The sequence below is a fragment of the Homo sapiens genome, chromosome 2 (genome assembly GCF_000001405.40).
Source record: "Homo sapiens chromosome 2, GRCh38.p14 Primary Assembly".
Classification (NCBI taxonomy): Eukaryota; Metazoa; Chordata; class Mammalia; order Primates; family Hominidae; genus Homo; species Homo sapiens.
Genome location: NC_000002.12, coordinates 36,837,140 through 36,849,691, shown reverse-complemented (window position 1 = coordinate 36,849,691; position 12,552 = coordinate 36,837,140). Strand labels below are relative to the sequence as shown.

Genomic DNA, 12,552 nt, shown 5'->3' with positions numbered 1-12,552 from the left:
ATTTATTTGTCCTTACCATTTTCATGTTAATGTAATTTTTCCTTTTAATTTTTTTTTTGGATATAGGTCATGACTGTTCAATACGTTTATGGAATCTAGAAAGTAAGACGTGTATCCAAGAATTCACAGCTCATCGAAAAAAGTTTGAAGAATCGATTCATGATGTAGCTTTCCACCCATCCAAATGCTATATAGCCAGTGCTGGAGCTGACGCACTGGCTAAAGTCTTTGTATGACGCAATGCATCATCTTCACCTTCTAGCTGTTTATAAGTAATCAACTGCACACAAGAGATACAGAAGACGAGGGCAAGAATCATCTCGTCCTGCCCTTTTGTTCTGCTGAAGGAGCACAGAGAACATTTGTTGAAGTATAGTTTTGCAATTCATATACTGTTTTCTAAAACTAAGGTTTGTTCAGGTTGCTGCAAGCTCAGCTGAATCTGTGAGCCTGAGGTCTGTTTCAAATTTCTCCCCAATAGGCGCCTTTATTTCTGAGGTGGTTCTAATTCGCTAGGCAGGCCTGAGCGAATACAAGTTTAGCTTGTCCCTGTTGAGTAAGTAGGGCATGCTACAATGGATAATTTAAAAGCTTGATAGCTGGGACTGAATAGAAGAAAACGGGAAACTTAGACCAAGTTCTCCCCTGAGAAATCTTGTTAAAACACATTAAGTAGTCAAAATAGTAATCTTTATCATATCTGCCATATTAACCCCTTTGTGTATAATGACCAGGCAGTGTTAAACTGAGTTTTTAATTTGACTCTCCTTTCAGCTGTTCACATAAAGCACCTGGCAAAGCATTTTACCTGTTAGGGGGAGAAAAATGCAATAATATGTTAAATATATTATTATTCAGAAATGCTAGACAAATAGTTTGCAAGCAGATTTCTATATTGTATTACAGTTTTGAAAACAGATTTGGTATCATTCTAAAGTTTAGCTATCAAGCACTCACCATTGTGAAGAATAGTTGATCGACTCTGCTTTTACTAACAGATTTAACTTATTCAGGTTTGAAATTCTGTTTATTTTTAAGGGTAAACAGGGCATATCTCTTTAATAATTTCTATTTTAAAATTCACTTTATTCATGTGACATTTATAGTACCAGAGTGATTATTTCATACCAATGAAATCTTACTTTTCAGTGACTGAAAAGATAGAATTTATTTGCTAATAATCATTTATCAACACCCACCTAATCATGCTTCAGATGATCTGTGCTCTTTCTTCTTTGTCACGTTCAAGTTATCTGACATCTACCAAGAACAGTTCATAATTATTAATAGCCCAAAGAGTATGGTTAACTTCACGCAGCTGCTTTTGCAGAAGCACTAATAAAAACAAATATTTTGTACCCTAGAAGTCCTCTATTAATCCCTGTAAGAATCTCCTGGAAACCTGGATGAAAGAGTTTAATGCCAAATATTGGCTAAAAAGTTCTGTCTTTCTCTCTCCCTATTCCTCCCCCATTGTTTAATTGAGATATACATGTTTTAATGGGCAGTGGATCAGTATTGTTTCTGGGGAAATCCACACCTTAAAAGGCCAGGCTTCCCCAGCCCAACTTACCTGTGACCCACCTACATGTGTTCACCTTTTGGGATTCTGAAGACCCTGCTATCTAGACCTAGTCTCCTGTCATAAAGACATTATTTCTATAGTGGTTTATGTCTCTCTTACTCTTTGTCCCAAATGACAGAGACCAATCTAGAAATTGGAAATAAATTATTAACGTCCAACTTTCCACCAAAAAACATATAAATAGGCTCTTAGATTTTAAAAATATTAAATCTATAGATATTTTAACCAATTAAAACAATTTCTACATATTCCATTCCCCACATTTTCCATCGTCATAACAATGATGCTTCTCATGATACGTACATCTACTCCTTGAAAAAGTATTCTGGTGGTGGTGTGGCTAATGATTGACAAATATTTCTGTAAAATTTCTGCCTGTTTGCCTCTAGAATTCTGCATTATACAGGCAAATTTTCTTTAAAGCTAGAGACTTGTGCTAAATTTGCCTGATTTTCATACAGATATGCTGTAGTAATACAGCTACCTTTTCATTTCATCTTTGTGCTTTGGTTAACAAGCAGGCTCAAGAGACTGCTTTGTGTAATTAAATGAATTGACCTAAACATGAGCTGTCAGGTGAATACTTAATATTTCCATGCAGATACAGAATTCCATATTGTGTTCAGTAAATTTCTTTTGGTTCTTCACAGTGAAGAAAGAATGTTTCTAACCTAACATTTGTAGAAGGATACTGGAAAATTCCTTCCAGGAAGGAAGGAAGGAAGATGCCATTACTTGGTGTATTTATGATGGATGACCACAAAGCTATTGTTCTACCAGTTATTAATTACCTTCTAAGATCTTCAGTTACTGCTTTATTAATGTCACTGAAATTCTAAAAACCAGGACATTCTTCCCCCGTTCATTTTATGCTTCATGGTTGAAATTTTTCTGTCAGTGAGTGGAAAATAACCATGAGATACATAGACTGTAGCGCAAATGGAACTGTTGAAAGTTCCTTAGAAAGCCAGTGCTGTGGCATTGGAGACTACGGAGAGAGTCTTCTCTACCAGCACTGCATGATCTCAGCCTAGAAATGAGCCAAAGCTGTCTTCCAACCAGAGTAGCATATACATGTGTCTGACTTTTCCCCTAGCCTGTTGAACATTCAATGAAAATTCACAGAATGAACAAATTCAATGTTTAAACAGCCATTGAAATGCTTTCATAGTGCTTCATTTGTAAATATTTTGTTTGAAATGTATTGGAATAGTATGAAAATTAGCGGGAGGTTTGGATCCCTGCCTTATTTTCATATGCTGTGGATACATCTCTGGGAGCTTGCAGCACCCTTCTCAAAACTCAACTGTCATATGGAGCTCATTTGCTACTCAAACCATAGACAGATTATTTAACAAAAGTGATATAATGACCTTCAGTATTTTTCTATTGAACAAGTTTAACAACTTTTGCCATTAAACAAATACTTAGTTATGCAAAATATTTCGCTTTTATAATCATTTTAGTTATGACTAAAACGGGGGAAATTGAGCTGCATCACTGATGATGAACTTTGTGAGAAATTTTTTTTTTAATCTGACTTTCATTCCTTCAGTATTCTTGCTATAAATTTCTTTTGGAGATAATGATGAAGATTTATTTGAAAATGTCTAAAATGTATGTATATTTTATAAATATATATTATATATATTGTAAGAATATATATAATATATAAACTATATATATATATATATATATATATATATATATATATATATAAACCATAGGTGCATTTTACTGTTTTGTATTTTCATTTTTGGAGGTAGTATACACAGCAGATAATGATGAGTATGATGAGTGTTGTGCTGTTTGCTTTTGCAGTATAATATATAGTTCTAAGTGTTTAAATTACTGTATATACAATATTCATTATAGGCTAGCATGCTTGTTTTAAAGACTGTCATTCTAGTGTATTAAAATCTGAATGTAAGAAAACCTGGCTATTCAAATGTGAATTGAAAAATATTTTATTCTCAGTACTGAACTATTTCCATTGAACATTCAGACTTTTTAACAAAAACAAATATCATCAAGAAGGCAATAGCTAGAAAATGAGAGGTGCCTTTAAAAAAAAAAATGCAGCCTTACAGTGAGGATGAAGATTGAGTTTGGGGAGGGGGTGGGAGGGGGGGCACAGAGAGAGAGAGAGAGTTAGTGTGTGTGTGTGTGTGTGTGTGTGTGTGTGTGTGTGCATGCATGCGTGTGTGTGTGTGTGTGTGTGTTTACCAATCTGTGAAGGTCCTGATTTGTGACCATCAATGTCTTTTTAATGTATCTGCTCAACTTCTAGGACTTCAGGGGACATTTCATGCGCTTTGTGCTCTTCTGAGCACCATATATACTTTCCAAGAATTTTGAATGTGAATTCCTAGAAATTTCAGTAGAGAAAACAATAGCTATTCTTTAATTATAGTAAAGTTCAGGTAGAAGGAGAAATTATTTGTTCACCAAAATTATGGGATCTCATTAATGTTGGCTAAGTAAATGTAATTTTTTAAAGGCTCACTTTTTAATACTTCATATATTTCCCTCTTACAAAACAGCATGTCATGAAGTTCTTATGTGGTAAAGATTCAACTAGTAAATATTTTTAGGTTAAATACCTGAACTAGTTAAAATTCCACCTAAGAATAGTCTTAAAATATTTAAAAAGCATCTCTCATATCTACCTCTTTGTCATTGCTGCCATTTTAACTGAAGCAAATCTTTATGACATCTGAAATGATGGTTGGATGCAATTAAAAAAAAATCTATGTTGGTGCTTTTCTCAGGCTTTGTCATTTAAGTTATATTGTATTAAGATGTCACAAATCAGACTGAAAGGCTTAGAATTAATTTTGTTTTTCTTTGAAAGAATTGCTTAAAATTAACCATCAATGTTTTTAGCGAGTGGAGATAATGAATCTTTGGTTGGTGTCTGTCTGTGTGATGTTTTCAACCAATAGCCAAATAATTATTGAACTTACATGAAAAAGAGTGCTAAGTATAATTTTATTTAGATTACTTTATTCTTTGAAAGTGACTACAAGGCTATTAAGTACATAATCATTCATTTTATTTACTCAGAAGTTGCCTCTCCATTACTGTTAACTTGTTTAGTAATTTATATAATTGCAGTACTTTTAAGTGTTGGACACTGGGATTCAGGTTGTATACAAAGTAGTAGCTGACGAAAAATATGTATATTTTTGTGAAATGTATCAAGCCCTAAAGTTCATTTTAGAGAAAGGCCCAGAAAAACGTATCTGTGTTTAAAAACAAAGGACAGGTCATTCGTCAATTTGAATCATTTTTACTTTTGCCACTACAAACTTTTTAATTGGCAATATCCATCATCCAACTGGATCTTCATGTCAGTGTCAGGGATGCCAGGTTGACAAAGTATTTAACAGATCCTTTCAGTTTTTGTTTTGTTTTTTTAATTCTAAAAAAAACAAATGTTAGGCCAAACAGATCCCTAGATCCCACTCATTGATTCTGGCGGTATTCCTAAAGTGGTGCTTAGGGGGTCAGAATTTTCTGGATCTTTGCTAATCCAAGCTTTAGATTTAATTTAACCAGGACCACATGCTTGTCATCTCTCTGATGCAAATTTTCAAAATCATTTTAATTTAGATTCTAATGTCTGCCTGGGTTTTTAACAGGCTGTGAACCAGTGAGTGCCTTGTTAATGTAGAATGATTTTTCCCCCCTGGGTGGGTGTTAGTTAGCTCCTCTCTGAAAATGTCTCAGAGAATGGTATTTTAATTGACTTGTAGAGAGCTGCTAAATTTGTTATTATCAGCAATCAGAAAGTCTTTGGTCTACCACACATCTCCCTCCCTACTATCTCTTCATTGTTTGGCTGAAGTTTGCCTCTTGTGAGAAAACAATACAACTCCCCTTCTCCACACACTTTTTTTCCAGCCCAGATTAATAGGTATCCCCTACCCTAATCCCAACTCTATGATCTAATACCTTTTTTAGGAGGAACCACTTCTTTTTAATATTGAAATCTGCTGGTTACTTTATGTTTTCTCAAGTTCAGTTGACTAGAGCTGACCACAGGGTGTCATCAATTCAGATTCCTAAATAACCCTTTCTCTCCACACCCAGTCCTCCAGCTGGTGAGCCCTGGGCCAGATTGTTTGATCTTCAGGTATTTTAAATTTTAGTTACATCAATTAATGTAAATTAATCCAAATGCTAATTTTTGTGGTGCAAGAAGTTTCTTATGTAAATTCAGGGTATGGATAAGCTAATTAAGATATCCATCTTTGGTGGCTCTAAGTGTATTATTTGTTTTTAAATAAAGTGTACAAATATAGATAACATGCTATAGGTGTCTCATGAATTGGAATATTTGTCAGATTTGGGATCTAGCTGTGGCTTTACAGTAATCAGTTAAATTAACATAGTCTGATTTGGGGCTTTTGGGGGAGGAGTTGTAGAGGGGTGCAGAGAAATAAAAGGATATTAGACAAAGTATACATGAGTCCAAAATTAATGAACCAGTCTTAATTACTGATTGTGAGGAAGGAGAAGTTTATAGAGAATTTGGGCCTCTGAAAAGCCAAATTAAAATAGCTTCTAGGATTGGGTCAGTGGTACTTTCAGAGACACATATGTTTAATGAATAGGTTTTATGTTTTTCAAATGTTCAGTTTAAATGGCTTTTAAAATTTATACACATATATAAATACAATGTTTTTATTTTTTGTTTCGCTACTTAACAGACATACACAAGCCTTCCACACTCCCTGCCCCTTCAAATCAACATTATTTTTCAAGGCCTTTGGCCTGCCCAGAACTCACAGTCTTTTTGTTCCAATCAGGATCCACAATACAATATGAAATTTAAAAGGCATCTCTTCTGATATCCTTGAAACTATCCACCATTGTTTGGTGTTCTGTATGCTGGTATACTAATGAGTATTATATCCTTTGGTATGTACACACATTTTCAGTAGTGTTGGAAACACCTCTTTTATCTTTTTAATGAGAACTGAGACATGATTAGCTTGAGTAATTTTGGAGATCTATCTCAGGAGGTCATTAAAACTCCAAAAATTATTCACGGATTGATGAACCTCCTGGGGTCAGCCTAAGATTGCCAGGTAGTATTCTGACCTCCTCTGGGTTTCCCAAGATCACTGATGTTTTGCAGGGCCCCAGCATTGTCCTGGCACATAAAATATTCCCAGAACACCTTGGGAGTCAAGCATACCTTTTAACCTAAACATTATAATCATGGAGCATCCCTCCGCCTGTTACTTCTCAGGATGACCAGAACACTCCAGTTCTCTAAGGAAGCACTGACATACGGCTCTGAAAATTGGAATCCGTTTTCTGAAACACAAATTTTAACTCAGTAAGTTTTGTATATCAAATGATTCAAAACCCACCAAACATAAAATGACTCGCTTCTAAGTATCACTCAAACCCTACAAAACCTAACCCTTTCCTTATTCCTAATTGATATTTCACTAAAGGTAATGGTAGTTTCAGTTAGATTGGAAGTCATTATTTGGGTGAGCAAAGTCTGCAATAACCTACTGATAGGAAGGACCTATTTCATAGAAAAGTATCTTGTCCTTGGTGATTTAGCCATTCACCTTACGTGAAGAGTGGTCCAGATGCCAGCTCCACATTGACTTTTTCTGTGTCCCTCTTTAGGTAATTAACCCAGTGATGTAAAGGAGAGCCCACAGTAAAACATCTGTTAAACAGCACTTGGAGTACTATAGTGTTATTAATTTATGTGCTATAATTTCTTATGCCATCATAAAATCTAGTGTATGTACCAGGTTCCCAATTCATTGCCTCAAACAAAAGATTTTTAAAAATTCTAATAGCATCAAATTAAGGGTAATGGTAGGGAAACCCATCATCCACAATTAAATATGCCCAAACTGAAAACTTTAAGAAAAAAAAGCACATGGAAAGCAACGTTTTACATTAATCGTGAGTTGTAGAAATAAACAGCTTGTGGTTTGTATATGTGCCGAAATGTTAAAGTATGCTGGCATCCAACTACTTCCCTTTGGAAATGGGACCAAGACAATAATTTTTCATGCATAAACAAAATTAACTTAGAGCAAAAGTAATTTTATCAGAAACAGTTTATTTTGGGGGCTGGATAACTTGGGTGAGAGTGTGGGGAAAGAAGTACCTTACCAAAAAGGAGAAGCAACTGACCCTGTGGCCTGAGCCACATTGTCTTCCATTTCAACTTCAATGGGCTGGCAGTATACCACTTCTGACCTCAAAGAATGAATGGTTCCAATTCTGGCTTGTCATTGGTCCTTGTTATCTAAATTAAATATTTTTAGGAAATATATCAAAAGTATCCTAGAGCCCCATGGCAAAGTGTCAGAGGAAATAGTTTTCATTATATTTTAGGAAGCTGTAAAAATATAAGCCCAAGTATTTTGTGTCATCTGCATATGTCAGGATGAAGACCAGGCATGTAAGAAATATCCTAAAGTAGCCAAGTGATAATCTCATGAAAAAATATGAGAATCGTTTTTACAGAGTGAGTTCTCTTTTGAATGGTTTTGACTATGCTTTTAAAAACATTTTTAAAATGTACTTACATCTTTTTCGATAGCCCACGTATTTCAGAATATCCTCTTGATAGAATAATATCACTCAGTGTGATTTTTAGAAAAAGAAAAACTCGGTGGTCTCATATCTTTTGACAGTTGTTTGTGAATAATACCCTCCCCAACAACCTTCCCAGTACTCAACTGCTATGTAAGAATGCTTTCTTATGTGGTAAATGTCTCAGTATTTTGCTGCCTGGTATTTGTTCAGTTTCCTTGTATATCTCAGGGTCAGAAGGAATCAGGCTTTCTCCCAACTCTGAAACATTCAGACTTACTTTCTTTTTGGTCAGCCTTTTAACAAGCAAGACAATAAACTCCTTTTGTCAGAATCGATTTGATTAAAAAAAAAAAAAAAGAATGTGCTCCTTATTTCTCATTGCTGTAGAATACGTAGGAATACACATCTACTAATCACAATTAAAAAATAAGAGAATCTTTAGAAACATCATTGCTTTCTGGAGGTAGAAATTTTGAACTTGAAGGTTGTAGTTCCAGGCAATTTTGTGCCCTTGAGGTGTCCAATTGATAGTATAGCTTGCCTCTGCTAATAAATACACAAAAGTTTTCTTTCCTGTGATTTTCAGAAATTATTTTTGGAATACAAAGATTAATAAGGAATATGTGATGTTTATCTCCTGCATTTCAAAATCTTCTGGATTTTTTTTGAGGCATGAGGAGCAGGTAATGAGATTTTTTTTCTGAATATCTTGATTCTCTCCCTTAACCCAGATTTTGCATATTATGCATTGCTCATTTGTCACCTACAAAAATAAAGGTTAATGATTATTTGTTTGCTTTTGTCTATATAAGCTCCCTAAGGCACAGACCATGTTCGTTTTTCTTATGTTCCTCTTAGCACTGTGCCTGGTGCCTTGCCATATAAAAGGTACCCTATAAATATTTGTTGGCTGAGTAATCAGAGAGCCCATTTCAAAATCTAAATTATACAAATCATCAAAGACCAAAAAAAAAAAAAAAAAATCTCTTGACAGTTGATGCTCAAATGCATTTGGTTCTGTGGAGCTTATCCTGAGATTGAGGTCTGCACCTTGACTGGAGAGGAATTTGGACTTTACCTCACAGGTAGCAACAAAATGCCTGAGTAGCAACGTCTTTATACTGCACAGTTCCAGTCCTGCCTGCGTGAAAACTGAGCAGAGCATGGTGGGGACAGGAAGGTGTCCCTAAACCCTGTTGATGACCTCCCATCTATCCCCGGACCCCCATATCTCCTCTGCTCATCCCCTGTTCCCCACTGGCCTCTGATCAGTTGAAAGGGAGCTTTTCTAGCCTGGAACCTGAGCCTGCCTTGATTATCCTGGGCTCAGAACAGGTCCACTTCCACACTCTTTCCTTGCAACCTACAGATGGCCCTACTGACTGCTGTTGTCCAGGAGAAAGACGAACCTCCCAGTGGAATCTTGTCAGGAAAGGCATCCCTCTGGGGAGCTTTCTTTGGAGAGGAAAATTCTGGGACAAAGTTCCTCAGGATGCTCTCAGGCTGGTTTTTGTCTTGAAGATTTTATAGTAATTGTACCAATGTTTATTAACTCTCCTAGGAACATCTCTGTCTTTGGTTTTCTGACAGCACTCCAGCAGGGCCCAGGGCTTTAGCTGAACAGTGCAATTGTTTTAGGAATAAAACAGTCAACAAGTTAGAGACCAACTATTTATATTTAATATTCAAATGACTTTAAATCATTAAAAGAATCAGCAAATTACATATGAAATATTCAACGAATAATCTCAACATTAAACATATACCATGTAAGAACTGTCATTAAAATTACTAAAAATATGATTCCTTTAAGATCAGTTCAACACAGAAGAAAGCAGGAATTTGGCCTGGACAATAGGACATTTATTGTCTGTTAGATTTTAGACAAGTCAACTCTTCTAAATTGGCTTCTCATCTATGAAATGGGGATAATAGATCTGCCTAATTAGGTTGATTTGAGATAACGGATGTAAAACACCTAATAAAATAAGCATCCAGCAAATGACTTGTTCACTCTCTGAATACAGACTTCTGGTCATGTAGTTCGGTCACACTCCTGATAGCTTCTAGAACATCAGGGTTTTAGGAGAAATAGGTTAAAATGAACATCAAGAGTAGCAGAAGACTACTTTCCTTAATATTTGAGTGCCAGCTATATGCCACACAGTTCTAGTTGCTGGCAGTCAGCAGTAAACAAAAACTTCACCTGATGCAGCACATTCCAGGTGGGGGAACAAGTGAAAATATAGGGAATATTAGTGATAAGTGCAGAGGGAAAAAAAATAGAGCAGGGAAGGGGGATGATTTGATGTTTTTCAGGTTAAGAAAGTGACAGAAATGAATTTAAATGCAAAAAACAATGCATAAAGATTCATAATGGCAAAACGAAGCATGTCCCATCATACCCCTTCATTCCTACCTCCCTGATATGTATCTTTCTAATTATTCATACAAATGTGTATACCCAGTTATTACATATGGGGTTTTATTCTACATATTATGCTGCACTTGCTTTTTCTAATATAATGTGTATCATGAGCACCTTACAAATTTTTAAAGGTCTCTCAAATTTATCAGTAAACATATACAGTCTAACGTTAATGAGAAGATATTTTGGTGGGCAGTTTGCTTTAAATAAATGGGATCATGTACGTTCTCTGCATCTCACATTTCTCATTTAACAATGTAGGATGAGAATTTCTCTAAGTCTATCATAGCTCTTATTTCCTTTTTATTATTACAATAAACATTCCTGTGTATATGTTTGTCACCATGATGGTTTTACGTCTGCGGAATAGATTCCCTGGAGTAGGATTGCTGCATTGAGGAGTATGTATATTTAAATTTTTAAATAAATATTGACAGATTGTTTCCCAAAGTGGCCGGAACAGTTTTTATTTCCATCAGTAAATGTATAAAAACACTTTTCCCTTAATACTCATGGCAATAACTATTGTAACATTAAAAAATACGTAGAAAAAAGAAAAAAATCCTGGTGGATGTAGTGATTTTTCAGTGTTATTTTAATTTCCATTTTCCTGACTACTATAAATGTAGACATCTTTTCAAATGTTTTGGTCATCTGGATTGCACTCAGAACTGAATTATCTATTCAAAGTTCTGTAGGTTAGAACTCCAGGGAAACTCAACTGGGCTGTCTGTTCAAGGCCCAACAAGGCTGAAATGAAAGTGTCTTCCAGGGTGGGTACTCAACTAAAGCTCTGAGGAGGAATTCGCTTCCAGCCTCATTAAAGTCAGAGGATGGAGGTCCCTGTCTCCTAGCTGACTGTCAAATCTGATCCTTTAGAGGTTGCTCCGTGGTCCTTGCACGTGGTCCCTTCCACCTTCAAAGCTTGCCAGGGTGCATCAAATTATTTTTATACTTTGACTCTACTTCTACCAGCCAGAGAAAACTGCTTTTAAAGGGCTCTTGTGACTAGTTTAAGCACACCCAGATTGTTAAGGTCAACTGATTAGTAGCTTTAATTACATCTGCCAAGTCCCTCTGCCCTGCAATGTAACATCAACCATGGAAGTAACATGAGGGGCAGAGTTCATGGGGGCCATCTTAGAATTCTGCCTACCACAAATATTCGTAGTTATACTTTTATATACATTTTTAAATTTTTCTTATTTTTGGTCCATATGTTTGTACCGTTTGTCTTTTTAGTTAACTAGTTTGTGAAAGCATTTTGTATGTTGTACAATATATGTTCAGATTTTCTTATCTTGGATGCAAACATTTTTTTCCAACTCTTGTAAGTTGTCTGTTGACCACATTCAAAAGTACTTTTTCCAAATAAAACTTTGCCTTTTGAATTTCACTTGAGTGAATTGCATATTTGCATTTTAAAATGTTTATTTTGTTATTTTATTAAAGTTTTGCCCATGTTCCACTGTGTTTTTTAAAATTTGCAGGTGCTCTTTTTATACTACATGTAAACCCTTTTTCTTACTATTTGCCAGTGTTTTTCTCCAAAACTATATTATTTTTGTTGACCATGTTTATAATACCTTTTCTCATTTAAAACTTTATATTAGGGCTTGGCAGGGTGGCTCACGCCTGTAATTTCAGCACGTTGGAAGGCTGAGGCAGGAGTATCGCTTGAGCCCAGGAGTTTGAGACTGGCATGGGCAACATAGTGAGACCTCGTTTCTACATACAATTTTTAAAATACTAGCTGAGCATGGTGGCACAACAGTTACCCTGGAGGCTGAGGTAGGAGAATGGCTTGAGCCCAGCAGGTGGAGTCCAGATCGCTCCACTGCACTCCAGCCTGGGCGACAGTGAGATCATGTCCCAAAAAAAACAAACCCGAAAAACTTTTTATTAGTAGATCTTCAAGTATACTTATATATAAAATATAGGCATTTGTGACTAT

General features: G+C 35.6%; 1 protein-coding gene across 3 annotated transcripts in view; it reads left to right on the top strand.

Moving 5' to 3' along the window:
• Window positions 1-11,994, top strand: part of STRN (striatin) — a 128,839-nt gene extending 116,845 nt beyond the window's left edge. For all 3 annotated transcript variants that reach the window (XM_005264519.6, NM_003162.4, XM_011533073.3), the window contains one exon: window positions 67-11,994. In XM_005264519.6, coding sequence (XP_005264576.1) covers window positions 67-236 — 170 coding nt within the window. In that variant the 3' untranslated portion in view covers window positions 237-11,994. The remainder of the gene's footprint in view (window positions 1-66) is intronic.
• Window positions 11,995-12,552: the final 558 nt, after the last annotated feature.